This window comes from Homo sapiens, chromosome 1 (genome assembly GCF_000001405.40).
Source record: "Homo sapiens chromosome 1, GRCh38.p14 Primary Assembly".
Classification (NCBI taxonomy): Eukaryota; Metazoa; Chordata; class Mammalia; order Primates; family Hominidae; genus Homo; species Homo sapiens.
In genome coordinates, this window is record NC_000001.11 from 64,770,442 (window position 1) to 64,785,497 (window position 15,056).

General features: G+C 36.7%; 1 protein-coding gene across 3 annotated transcripts in view; it reads left to right on the forward strand.

Moving 5' to 3' along the window:
- Positions 1 to 15,056, forward strand: part of RAVER2 (ribonucleoprotein, PTB binding 2) — an 88,158-nt gene that overhangs the window by 25,367 nt on the left and 47,735 nt on the right. For all 3 annotated transcript variants that reach the window (NM_001366165.2, NM_018211.4, XM_011541706.3), the window contains exons 3-4: positions 7,182 to 7,651; positions 10,939 to 11,130. In NM_001366165.2, coding sequence (NP_001353094.1) covers positions 7,182 to 7,651; positions 10,939 to 11,130 — 662 coding nt within the window. The remainder of the gene's footprint in view (positions 1 to 7,181; positions 7,652 to 10,938; positions 11,131 to 15,056) is intronic.

Sequence of the window (15,056 nt, forward strand, 5' to 3'; positions counted from 1 at the left end):
AGTGCTTCCTCATAACTTAACCACATCCTGGAACAAAACTCAAGAATATTTGTATGCATCCAAAACATCTGACACCCAACAAAGTGAAATTTATGATGTCAGACATCCAATAAAAAAGTAGCAGACATGATGAAGAAGCAGGAAAACCTAATGTATAACGAGGACAAAAATCAATCACAACTGGCCTAGAATTGACACAGATGAATTAATAAAAATGGACATTAAACCAGTTTTTATAATAGTGTTCCATATATATAGTAAGTTATAGTAAAGATTGAACATGGTAAATAGAGACTTGGAAGATATAAAATATCCAAATCAAACATCTGGAGATGAAAATTACAACATCTGACATGAAATACACTGGATAGGATTAATGGCAGAATAGACACTGTGGAAGAAAAAATTAGTGAACTTGAAAACAATGATGTAAGTGATCCAAAATGAAACACAGAGAGAAAAAAGACTGTAAAACATGAACAGAGTATCAGTGAACTGTGGGACAGCTTCAAGAGCAATTAGAGTCCCTGGGGGTAGGAATAGTTAAAAAAAAATTAAAGAATTAGTAGCTGAAAAGTTTTAAAATTTTGATGAAAATTCTAATCCCAGAAATCCACAGAGCTCAACCAACTTCAAGTACAAAAGCATGAGGAAAACTACAGTGTACGTTGTAATCAAATTGCTTACAGTTAGTGATAGAATGTCTTAAAAGCAGCCAGAAAAAAAGTATACATCATTAATACATTTAGCGGGACAAAGATTAAGATGACCATAGATCTTGGAAACAACACAATTGAAAAGACTGTAGGGTAACATCTTTTCATTCTTTACCAAAATAAACAAAAACACAACAGGTCCACATAGAATTCTTAACCTATTGAAAATATCTTTCAAAAACAGTGATGAAATAGAGATGTTTTTCAGTCATACAAAAGTTAAAAGAATCATCACCATTAGACTTGCACTATAAGAAATACTTAAGGAAGTCCTACAAGCAGGAAGAAAATTATAGATGGAAATCTGGACCTACCCAACAAAATGATGAATACGTGATATGGTCATTACGTGGGTAAAGACTTTTTTCTTAATATTGAAATCTTTTAAAAGTATAATTGACTGTTAAAAGCAAAAATAATGACATTACATTGTGAGATTTGTAACACATGTAGAAATAAAATGTGTAACAGCAATAATACAAAGGCTGGGAGAGGAGAAATGGGATTGCACTGTTTGAAGTCTCTTATACAGTACATGAAGTGGTGTGATACCGTTTGACAATTGACTGTGATAAGTTAAAGATGTATACTGTAAACCTTAAATCACCTGTTAAAATCACACAACACAGAAATCATTAATTGTATTAAATGATTTTGCCTTGGATTTTGGAACCTATAGTGGTGTTCGTGGAAACAGATATAATTAATAACTCAGTTGATAAAAGATGCAATTCTTAACTATAACCTTGCAACCAGAGCTTCCTATGGTAGATATGAGGAAATTATTATAGTAAAATAGGATACATTAGGGGAAAAAGTTTTGGCACATGCTTGCCTTCAAATTAGACCCAATAATAAACTAAATAGTAGACCATGCAATGACTTTTAAAAGAATTGGGATCAATTGTGGGATATTTAAATTTCACAAGGAAAATGGTAATGTAATTAATCCCAAATTCCCTTACAGCCTTTTCTCTGTAGAGTGACATCTACCATTTCTATGAGAACTAGTATGTGAATTTTTTTATTTTTTATTATTTTAGAGAATTCGTGGCCTTGGAAAAACATGGAAGAAGCTATAGAACAGAAAATGTGACCTCCTTTCCCTACTGTCTGAACTTTTAAATTTGTTTCATTATGTTATTTAAATTCTTCCATAAAACCTAAGTTGAGCAAATGCAGATACCTAAGAAAAGGACAAAGAGATTTTCAGTTTTTAAATTATTAGTTGATTTATATATGCATTTATTTATTCATTCATCTAACACAAAGCTTCTACCATATGTCATGCACCATGATAGTTGGTGGAATTAGGGAGCTCACAGTTTAGTAGGGTAGCAGGCATCTAAGCAAATAGATTACGATGTGATGTGATCTATGCAATAATCCGAGCAATGTTCAAGATAGAGAGGTATAAAAAAATAAAGAATGGTTAACTCTAAGAGAGGATCAGGGAAGCTTCCTGGAGATCATGATGGAGTAATGCATGGACGAATTTGAAAATCAGCTAAAAGGTTCTAGGTATCCTAAGGTATGGGGAGTGATCTTATAGGCAAGGGAATTAAATGTGTAATATATGGATACCTGAAATAACTGGATCTCTACAGGGAGCTACAAATATTTCAGTGTTCTTGGAGAATAAAGAGCTGTTGGGGAAGGGAGGAAGTATGGCAGTTAACAAGGCTGGAGTTAGATATAGCAGGCATTGTAGAGCATGATTACCAATCTGGCACTTGGCTTTTTTTGTGAGTAATAGCAAACCTTTGCATTTAAGGCAGTAAACAGGCACAATTAAACTTCTGTTTTTTAGAGATCACTTTATTGTCACTGTGGAGAAAGGATTAAAAAAAGAAAAAGCTAGAGGACTGAAGAAAGGGGGATGGATTCAAGACCTATTAGACGGGTGGAATTTGAGGATTCCTTTTATATGGGAAATGAGGGAGACAGAGTCTAGGTTAATTCCCAGGTTTCCAATTTCTGGGTGTTGTGTGACCAGCTAAAATAGGGAATAAAGGAAGATGAGAAGTATTAGGATTTTTTTTTAATATACTTAAAGTTCTGGGGTAAATGTGCAGAACGTGCAGGTTTGTTACATAGATATACATGTGCCATGGTGGTTTGCTGCACCCATCAACCCGTCATCTACATTAGGTATTTCTCCTAATGCTATCCCTCCCCCGCTACACCCCCCGACAGGCCCCAGTGTGTGATGTTCCCCTCCCTGTGTCCATTTGTTCTCATTGTTCAGCTCCCACTTATCAGTGAGAACATGTGGTGTTTGGTTTTCTATTCTTGTGTTTGCTGAGAATGATGGTTTCCAGCTTCATCCATGTCCCTGCAAAGGACATGAACTCATCCTTTTTTATGGCTGCATAGTATTCCATGGTGTATATGTGCCACATTTTCTTAATCCAGTCTATCATTGTTGGACATTTGGGTTGGATCCAAGTCTTTGCTATTGTAAATAGTGCTGCAATAAACATACGTGCACATGTGTCTTTATAGTAGAATGATTTATAATCCTTTGGGTATATACCCAGTAATGGGATAGCTAGGTTAAATGATATTACTAGTTCTAGATCCTTGAGGAATCGCCACACTGTATTCCACAGTGGTTGAACTAATTTACACTCCCACCAACAGTGTAAAAGCATTCTTATTTCTCCACATTCTCTCCAGCATCTGTTGTTTCCTGACTTTTTAATGATCGCCATTCTAACTGGTGTGAGATGGTATCTCATTGTGGTTTTGATTTGCATTTCTCTGATGACCAGTGATGATGAGCATTTTTTCATGTGTCTGTTGGCTGCATAAATGTCTTCTTTTGAGAAGTGTCTGTTCATACCCTTTGCCCACTTTTTGATGGGGTTGTTTTTTTCTTGTAAATTTGTTTGAGTTTTTTGTAGATTCTGGATATATTAGCCCTTTGTCAGATGGATAGATTGCAAAAATTTTCTCCCGTTCTGTACGTTGCCTATTCACTCTGCTGATAATCTTTTGCTGTGCAGAAGCTCTTTAGTTTAATTAGACCCCATTTGTCAATTTTGGCTTTTGTTGCCATTGCTTTTGGTGTTTTAGTCATGAAGTCTTTGCCCATGCCTATGTCCTGAATGGTATTGCCTAGGTTTTCTTCTAGGGTTTTTATGGTTTTAGGTCTTACGTTTAAGTCTTTAATCCACCTTGAGTTAATTTTTGTATAAGGTGTAAGAAAGGGATCCAGTTTCAGCTTTCTGCTTATGGCTAGCCAGTTTTCCCAATCCCTTTCTTAAATAGGGAATCCTTTCCCCATCGCTTGTTTTGGCAGGTTTGTCAAAGATCAGATGGTTGTAGATGTGTGGTGTTATTTCTGAGGCCTCTGTTCTGTTCCATTGGTCTGTGTATCTGTTTTGGTACCAGTACCATGCTGTTTTGGCTACTGTGGCCTTGTAGTGTAGTTTGAAGTCAGGTAGCCTGATGCCTCCAGCTTTGTTCTCTTTGCTTAGGATTGTCTTGGCTGTGTTGGCTCTTTTTTGGTTCCATATGAAATTTAAAGTAGTTTTTTCCAATTCTGTGAAGAAAGTCATTGGTAGTTTGATGGGGATAGCATTGAATCTATAAATTACTTTGGGCAGTATGGCCATTTTTACGATATTGATTCTTCCTATCCATGAGCATGGAATGTTTTTCCATTTGTTTGTGTCCTCTCTTATTTCATTGAGCAGTGGTTTGTAGTTTTCCTTGAAGGGGTCCTTCACATCCCTTGTAAATTGTATTCCTAGGTATTTTATTCTCTTTGTAGGAATTGTGAATGGGAGTTTCCTCATGATTTGGCTCTCTGTTTGTCTGTTATTGGTGTATAGGAACGCTTGTGATTTTCCCACATTGATTTTGTATCCTGAGACGTTGCTGAAGTTGCTTATCAGCTTAAGGAGATTGTGGGCTGAGATGATGGGGTTTTCTAAATATACAATCATGTCATCTGCAAACAGAGAGAATTTGACTTCCTCTTTTCCTAATCGTTTTGTTTTTTGGCAGAGATAGGATGAAAATCGTGAGTTATGTTTGGGAGTCAATATGAAGATATATGTGGCACTAAAGGTTAGAAAGATAGATTGGGGAGTATAATGGTATGGGAGGCCTTTTGCAAGTCCTCAGATGAGATTATTTTGCTCATTGCTTTCATAGCCCCTCATACTTCCCCTTTGGGGACACCACATTTGTAACTCTTTGTTAAATGTCTAGCTTCCCCTATTAGATTGTGAGCTCTGTGTTGAAAGGGATCTTACCTGTTCTGTTCACCAAAACATTTCCAGTGCCAAACTTGGAATCTGGCACATGATACGGAATACATGGGAATGGGTGTGATTGCCCCCAGAGGAAGAGGGTGTAGAGTGCGAAAAAAGATATTCAGCGGCCACACATTGAGTAACACATGTGGCCACACAGGTGTTACTGTGTGTGACTCTGCCAGGAAGGCACCCCAAGGAGTACTACCTTACAGCTGTGAGTGGAGGAGAAAGAGCTAGCAAAGGAAATAGAAGAAAGAGCTTGGACAGTTATGAAGCAAATCAAGAAAGAGTACATCAAGAAAGTTAAGAAAGGCCTGGTGCAGTGGCTCAGGCCTATAATCCCAGCACTTTGGGAGGTTGAGGTTGGTGGATCACTTGAGGTCAGGAGTTCGAGACCAGCTTGACCAACATGGCGCAACCCCATCTCTACTAAAAATACAAAAATTAGCCAGGCGTGGTGGCAGGCCCTGTAGTCCCAGCTACTTGAGAGGCTGAAGCAAGAGAATTGCTTGAACCTGGGAGGCAGAGGTTGTGATGAGCTGAGATCGGCACCACTGCACTCCAGCCTGGGCAACAGAGTCAGACTCTTGTCTCAAAAAAAAAAAAAAAAAAGGAAAGAAAGTTAAGAAAGGGAATGATTAACAGGTTCAAATGCCCTGAGAATTCAAGTTAAATATGACCTGAGATTTTATGGGCTGATACGAGAATATAACCAGTATTTACAAACTGTTGTTGGCTCGTTTGTTTTAGGGAAACAGAATTAAATTGTATTTTATGTCAGCATAAGGAAAAAAGACATAGAATCAAAATCAAGCCTTTTAAAAAAGATTGTTAGAAACTAAGAGATAGCCTTTTAATAAGGGCAGTAAAGCCATTTTTTCTCATTTTTTGGAAGAGATGTTGGAACAGTTAGCTGTTCCTTTGGCAATAGTTTTCTTGCGTGTGGGACATGTGTTAAATGAAAAATGTGTTTCTTTAAATGTTAGCATCACACTTAGTGTGGTGAGATGCTCTTACTCTGAGAGCCGCATGGCACTAAGACCAATTGAGGGCAGAGAAGTTTAGTGAAATGACAGGCAGAATTGCCCATGCTACTTAAATTACTTCTCTGTCTCTTGCTATATCCATATTTGCTGTATACAACATATTGTCATGCAGTTCTAATTGAATTTGGGTAAATTAAATGTTCATATGGAGTAACTTCACTATATATTTCAGAGGGAGAGGGAGAGGAACTTGTAGAGAGCAATTTATTTGTAATTTGTGGATTGCTATGTATTTTTTAATGGGGGCTTTAAACTTTTCCTATAAAATTGCTCAAAACCTTTTATATTCTTTTATTGCAAAAGGTAAACAAATTGATATGGTTAAAATGTAATTTTACCAGATATGAATGTACATAATATTTCATTGATTTAGAATGTTATATTTGTATTATGTTTCCAGTTATATAAGCCGTCATATGCATTTGTTGCTTGATGCTGGAACAACTTCATTAGCTAGACAGGGCAGACTATTTTTATTGTTTTATGAATATTCAAGATCTTGTCTTAAGATCAGAATCCTGTAACCTTTTCATTTGATATTATTCATCAAAAGTGTACCAAATTAAAAGTGTCTGTGTGTTATGTCAATCTAATCTGATATTAAGGAAATATATACATGAATTGGAGAAAGAAATGGCCTCCTTTATGCATTTTGATGTTTTTGCTGTACCTTCATTTTTTCAGGTCCTTGCTGTCAAATAGGCTCTTTTAGAACTCTTTCTAGGAAGAAAGAAAGATTTTGTAACTTCATTTTTATTTCAGTTAAGTTTTATATAAAGTCTTCATAAAATTTTATATCACAGGTTTTTGGGTGGGAGGAAATCAAATATGTGTGTGATTGGAAAAGACTACCAAAAACCCCCCAGAATATCATAGGATTTTACAGTGAAACTCCTAATATAATCCCTGTACTTTCTATTTTGGGTTACTGTTGATGAAATTAGTTTAATGGAGGTGTCAGCATTAAAAAACGCACTGAAATAGAATAAAAAATGTCACAATGCATTGCATATAGTAGGGGTATTAACTTATAATTTTGTTTCAGAAAAAAGGTGTATGTTTATGTGTACCAAGTCACAGAAGTAAGATATATTTCTTACTGTGTTTTCAAACAATTTGAAAACTCTTTAATTCATTTCGTTATCTTCCAGCTTTTGTTACCTTATTGAATGGGGAACAAGCCCAGAACGCAATTCAGATGTTTCATCAATATTCTTTTAGAGGAAAAGACTTAATAGTCCAGCTTCAGCCAACAGATGCTTTGTTGTGTATTACCAACGTGCCCATTTCTTTTACATCAGAAGAGTTTGAAGAACTTGTTCGTGCTTATGGAAATATTGAGAGATGTTTTCTGGTCTATAGTGAAGTTACTGGCCATTCCAAAGGCTATGGATTTGTGGAATACATGAAAAAGGACTTTGCTGCAAAGGCTAGACTGGAGCTATTGGGTAGACAGTTGGGAGCATCAGCACTCTTTGCACAATGGATGGATGTTAATCTATTGGCTTCAGAGCTCATTCATTCTAAGTGCCTTTGTATTGATAAACTCCCCAGTGACTACAGGGATTCAGAAGAGCTGTTGCAAATTTTTTCCAGTGTCCATAAACCTGTGTTTTGCCAGGTATGTATTTTTAAGAGATTATTGAAATATTTTAAAATATATACATATGTATCTAATCTACATACACTCACAAATTTATCATACCTGTGTGATTAACACAATGGAAATTTAATTCTGCATCATTCTGTAGGGAAGACTTTGATCTCATGGGAAATTTTAAATCAGTTCCTCTGTTTATGGGCCAAAGTATGTTGTTATGTAGTTAAGTATGCCTTAGCAAATCCATTGCTTACTCATTCACCTCATTCCATCCATTCGTCCCACCATTTTTCCATCAATCCATTTATCTATCCAACTTTTATTTACCATCTTCTGTGTACCAGACACTATGCCAAGTGTCAGAAAGGCAGAGAATGGAAAGATACTCTATCTCAATACCTCACAATTTTGTAGAAGAGACGGACAAGTAAGCAAATAATTGCAAATCCTATATGAAGAGTGATATAATGGAGGATAGAAAAGTACTATGAAGTTTAAAAGGAATGTGTAGTTCTATCTTAATGTGGTCACGGTAGGTGAGACATCTAGAGAAGATCCTGAAAACTGATAACACTGGCGAGACTTTTCAAGCACTTTATCATAGTAAAATTAAATACATTCTAATAAATATATATATATATACTATATATAACACTTTTCCTTACAGAGTTTTGATAGCAACTGATCAATTATTTCTCTCTTGTTTCTCTCCATTTCTTCCTTCTCCGTTTTCCTTTTTACCGCACTCCCTTCCCATCCACGCTCCTTTTCCTCTTACCTCTGTTGTTTCCTCTCCTCCTTTGCATCTTTTCTTTAATCATACATTTGTTGATTTCCTAGTATTGCAGTAGAAATTTTGGAGTTGGAGTACATATCTATATATGTATATAAATAAATATATTATTTAATATTAAATATATATTAAAATATATATTATTTAAGTTGACAGTTAAAATTGTATTTATCATGTATAACATGTTTTGAAGTATATATACATTGTAGAATGGCTAAATCAAGCTATTTAACATATGTATTACCTCACATAGTTATCATTTTTGTGGTAAGAACACTTAACATCCACTCTCGTAGCATTTTTCAAGAATACAATATGTTGTTATTAACTGTAGTCATCATGTTGTCCAAAAGATCTTTTGAACCTATTTCTCTTATCTAACTGAAATGTTGCATCTTTTGACCATATCTCCACAAGCTCCCACACAAATCACCCCAGCCCCTAGTATCCACTATACTTCTTTGAGATCACCTTTTTAAGCTTCCGCACATGGGTGAAATTTTGCAGTAATATATATTTTTAACATTTTTTTTTTGAGACAGGGTCTTTCTCTATTGCCCAGGCTGGAATCATGGCCCACAGTAGTCCCACACTCCTAGGTTCAAGCGATCTTCTTGTCTCAGCCTCCCAAGTAGCTAGGACTACAAGTCCACATTACTATGCCCAACTACTTTTTAATTTTTTTTTTTTTTTGGTAGAGACTGGGTCCTGCTATATTGCCAGGCTGCTCTCAAACACCTGGGCTCAAGTGATCCTCCTGCCTTGGCCTCCCAAAGCTCTAGGATTGGCTTATTGATATGTTCTTCTTGAATACTAAGAATTATATTATGTTGTCATCCTGTGGCCTTTATTTGAGGCCTTTGAAGCAGATGCGAAGAGAAAAGCCATTTATCATAAATTGTATTTGAATTGTGAACCCCCCCGAGTTGGAAGAGCCCTTAGAGATTATCTAGTATAGCTTTACATGTCATAGAAAATATTTGCTACCATATTTTTGAGTGACCATTTAGCTTCTGCCAAAATACTTCAAAAGAGTGGAAAATTAACTACATCACAAGTCAGACCATTGTGTTTTTGAATGGCTCTCATATTGAACTGAAATAGCCCTCTCTGAAACTACTGATGCCGTGGACTTAAAATGATTTTGTTTTTTGAAAGACTTAAAATATTATAATTTATACAGGCATGAAGATCATTATAATGAAATAGAATAGTAAAAAAAAATTTTTAAGTTTTCAAAAGATTAATAAAGCAGCTTTGGGATGGCTCTTTATCAGTGGGTCTGTTAACCTCAGGCTCTTTTGCATGGTAGATTGGCATAGACTGTATTAAAGACACAGCCTCTTAACTTGTGGTCAAGAGACCAAAATGATTAATTAGTGGCTTTTACAAACCTGATTTTAAGAACTGGTTTGGATTATAAGAGGAATAGGGTTGTTGGAGACATGTTTAGAAGAGGTAGATGTTTTTCCTTTTCCTGTGTGACTGGAAAAAGCTTTGTGGAGGAAAAGATATTTGTTGACAGTTTTTAAAGGAAGAAGTAATGTGAAGGAAAAGATAGAAATTTGATCTAAATATACAAGGAAGTAGAAGAAAGTTAAGCTTCAAAAACAAGAGAAAAGAAACTGAGAAGGACTAAGAAGTGATTTAGTTGTAATATCAGCTTATGAGATGCCACACCCAAATAGAAGTATTGGAAATGTGTCTTCTCAAAGATATACTAAGCTGAATTTTGTGTCATTTATCACTTTATAGCATGAATGTATTTAAGATAATTCAGACGTGTTCAAAACCTAGAAAGGTTTTAGTGTCTTATCTTGTTCTTATTTTTGCTCTTTGTACCAGTCTTTTCAGATCCAGGACTTTAGTATCTTCCATTACACTCTTACAGGTGGGTGACTGGAAATAAATCAAGTTCTACATGGCAGGAGTTTATTTAGGGCACATTCAGAAATAAAAGTTGTGTGTTGCTTATAATAAACCTGGGACACAGTTTTCCTAAATAAGGTTTGCCTGGGTATACTTGACTAAATTCCTGGGATCTGCCTAAAATAGTGAAATAAAAATGAAATATTCCTCCTACCTTCTCTTGATAATACTAACTTTATTTTCCATTGATGTGTGGTCAAATAATTTGTTCAGTATGTTTCACTGTCCATGTACCTGGTGATTTTCTTTTAAGGAAAGCTATAATTATTGTGTCCTCATGTTTTCCTATAAATTACCAGTTTATATATTTCTTAATATATAGAGACTATTACCATCTGGGCTTTTACTGTTAAAATAAATTAGAAAATTAAAGAATTGAATAGAAACTTGACAGACTCCTATCTTCCTGTCTTCAAGAAGAACTACATCTAAGCAATTAGTAAACATTTTCATAAAGAAAGAATATGTTATTTCCACCAGTATCATGCTCCAATGCACTTGTTCTTGAATTTGAAAATTATATATCGTAAATAAATGTTTCTAAGTAAAGATCGGAATTACTGTTTAATAGAATGTATTGTATCAGCTTGCACAGGATGAAGGTAGTTACGTTGGTGGCTTTGCAGTGGTTGAATATAGCACTGCGGAGCAGGCTGAAGAGGTCCAGCAGGCAGCAGACGGTATGACCATCAAGGGCAGCAAAGTCCAGGTTTCCTTCTGTGCTCCTGGAGCGCCAGGGCGAAGTACATTAGCAGCATTGATAGCGGCTCAACGTGTGGTAAGTTTTTTCTCTTTCTGTCTCTTTTTTTAGAGTATAGAAAATTCTAATACTATTTTAATCTATCCAGTCTAGCCAAAGTAATTGATTGTCGATTGCACCATCATTGCATTTCCATCACACTGAAGACTTTTCCTTTTTTTTAAAAAAGGTTAGCTAAATGGTTTCCTTGTTAAGTCAAGCCAGAAGTCATTACCAAAAAAAGAAATTGTGTTTAGTAAAGTGTATTTATCTTGAGAAATTTTTGAAGGAATTTCATTTATTCAGCAAATATTGAGTTCCTCTTGTGTTATAAATTTTGAGTGTAACATGCCTCCTTTTTCTTTTTCTTTTCTTTTTTTTTAAATTTTGAAATGGAGTTTCACTCTTTCACCCAGGCTGGAGTGCAGTGGCACAATCTCAGCTCACTGCAGCCTCTGCCTCCTGGGTTCAAGCAATTCTCCTGCCTCAGTCTCCCGAGTAGCTGAGACTACAGGCACATGCCACCATGCCTGGCTAATTGTTGTATTTTTAGTAGAGACAGGGTGTTGCCATGTTGGCCAGGCTGATCTCGAACTCCTGACCTCAGGTGATCTGCCCGCCTCAGCCTCCCAAAGTGCTGTGATTACAGGCGTGAGCCACCGCACCCAGCCGCCTCTTTATTCAAGAAGTTTTCACAAGTAGAGGAAAATACGTGCCTTTTTGCTTATGTGGCACATTGTACTTCCTTCTTTATAGTAACTGTCTACTCATTCTTCTCTACTTCTTTAGCCTGGAGGATCCTTGGAGATGGAGACTATACCTTCTTCACAGTTTTTACCCTAGTACTTAGCATAGTAAATATTTGTTAATTGAATGAAGGAATACATTTTTGAAGGAATTGGGAAAGACTTTATGCTGAAGGTGACATTTGAGTGTGACAACGAATGGATGAGATATTGACTTGTGTTGATGAGAAGTGAATAGGATTGCCACAGAAATACAGATTTTTGCATGAGATACTTGTACTAAAATATCATTCATTGTTTATCCGAACTTAAAATTTAACTGCACATTCTGTGTTTTTACTTGCTGCATCTGGCAACCCCAAAGAGGGAAAGTGAGTAGTCACTCTAGGTGGAACAGAAACTACTCATACAGTGCTTGAGGAGTGGTAAGTGGTCTGGTTGCAGAGTGAATATGAGGATGCTTGGATGTAGGCTAATGCCAAAGCAAGGAAGACTATTGAGTACTCAGCCAATTACATAGGTATACATGTGCCATGTTGGTTTGCTGCACCCATCAACTCGTCATTACACTGGGCATTTCTCCCAATGCTATCAATCCCCCAGCCCCCTACCCCGCGACAGGCCCTGGTGTGTGATGTTCCCCATCCTGTGTCCATGTGTTCTCATTGTTCAGTTCCCACCTATGAGTGAGAACATGCGGTGTTTGGTTTTCTGTCCTTGTAATAGTTTTCTGAGAATGATGGTTTCCAGCTTCATGCATGTCCCTGCAAAGGACATGAACTCATCCTTTTTTATGGCTGCGTAGTATTCCATGGTGTATATGTGCCACATTTTCTTAATCCAGTCTATCATTGATGGACATTTGGGTTGGTTCCAAGTCTTTGCTATTGTGAATAGTGCCGCAATAAATATATGTGTGCATGTGTCTTTATAATAGCATGATTGATAATCCTTTGGGTATATATCCAGTAATGGAATAGCTGGGTCAAATGGTATTTCTAGGTTCTAGATCCTTGAGGAATCGCCACACTGTCTTCCACAATGGTTGAACTAATTTACACTCCCACCAACAGTGTAAAAGCGTTCCTATTTCTCCACATCCTCTCTAGCATCTGTTGTTTCCTGACTTTTTAATGATCGCCATTCTAACTGGTGTGAAATGATATCTCACTGTGGTTTTGATTTGCATTTCTCTGATGACCAGTGATGATGAGCATTTTTTCATGTGTCTGTTGACTGCATAAATGTCTTCTTTTGAGAAGAAGACATTTGTTGTCTGTTCATACCCTTTGCCCACTTTTTGATGGGGTTGTTTTTTTCTTGTAAATTTGTTTAAGTTCTTTGTAGATTCTGGATATATTAGCCCTTTGTCACATGGGTAGACTGCAAAAATTTTCTCCCATTCTGTAGGTTGTCTATTCACTCTGATGGTAGTTTCTTTTAATGCCCTAGAAGAAAACCTAGGCAATACCATTCAGGACATAGGCATGGGCAAAGACTTCATGACTAAAACACCAAAAGCAATGGCAACAAAAGCAAAATAGACAAATGGGATCTAATTAAACTAAAGAGCTTCTGCACAGCAAAAGATACTGGGCTTTATAACCATGCAACCGGTTGCCTGAAGAATTAGGCCTCACTTATTGTCACCATTTCTTAATTTTCCATTTCCCTCTCAAGTCTAATGCAATGTAGTTTCTCCTCCACTGTTCAAGTGAATCTGTTCTCATTAAGTTAACAGGGGTTTTTAAATATTCAGATCTAGTGACTACATTTCAATCTTTTATTGGTTGGTCCCTTCGCAACATTTAAAACCTTCTACTGGCTGGGCACAGTGGCTCACGCCAGTAATCCAAGCACTTTGGGAGGCCAAGGTGGGAGGATTGTTTGAGCCCAGGAACTCGAGACTAGTCTGGGAAACATGGTGAAGCCCTGTCTCTACAAAAAGTTAGCTAGACTTAGTCGTGTGCACCTGTTAGTCTCAGCTACTTGGGGGGCTGAGGTGGGAGAATAACCCGAGCCCAGGAGTTTGAGGCTGCAGTGAGCCATGATTATACCACTGCACTCCAGCCTGGGTGACAAAGTAAGACCTTGTCTCAAAAACAAAGCAAAACAAAACAAAACAAAGCTCTCTACTACCTTGAATTCTGCCACACCATTCATTTTCCTATCTGCCTATGTGTTCTTTCCCTAACTTATTTTTTCCCCCTAAGAGCTGATATCAGTAGATTTCCATATTTGGCCTTCTCATTTTCTTCCTGTTATATATGCCTATTAGTGATTACTTCCAAGCATATAATTTCAGACCAAACTGCTCTCAGTACTAAATTATGTTTCCAAGGGATTCTTAGACATTCCCACTTCATGCTATATAAATAGTTCAATTTCAGCATTTCAAAGAAGACTTTTTTTCTGGGACTGCTTTTCTATGTTCTATAATATCTATATATGGCATCAGTTCATCCAAACTAAAACTATGTGAATCAAAAACTCAGTTAATCGTGATTGGTCTCCCTCACCCACTTTCTAATGTAAATGTCAGAAATACTATCACATCCTTTCAATTTCACCTCCTAAGATCTCTCAAATCCTTGGGACCTTGTCAGCATCTTGATTACTTCACTCAGGATCTCATCTTTTCTCATCTCTCTGATTAGAATAATTCCCTGCGTGGTCCCATGTCATTAGTCTTTCCCCTTCTAATCCATCTTGCACAGTGCACAGGAGAGCTCTTTCTCATCCTCAAATCAGCTTATGTCATTCTCTTGCTTAATATTCTTTAATGCCTGCATAAGTTCACCTTCCTTAGCATGGCATGCAGGCCCTTTACAGTCAGATAGTAGTGACAGTGAGAAATCTCAGTCTTAAAAATAAGGTATTCTAGATAATGTTTTCTATAGGTTTTTGGTACATATCCTTTGGTAATATCAAGTTTTCTGAGTTTTTTAATGTCATAAATAGGTGCTGACCTTTATCAGAATATTTCTACAACTATTGAGATAATCATGATTTCTCCTTAATTTCTTTAGCGTCGTTTGAGAGTTACACATTCTATCTCTATCCTGCTGGTGATTGTGCCTGTCCCTAACTTTTTTTTTTTTTTTTTTTTGAAATAGAGTCTTGCTCTGTCGTTCAGGCTGGAGTGCAGTGGCACGATCTTGGCTCACTGCAACCTCCGCCTGCCGGGTTCAAGCGACTCTCGTGCCTCAGCCTCCTGAG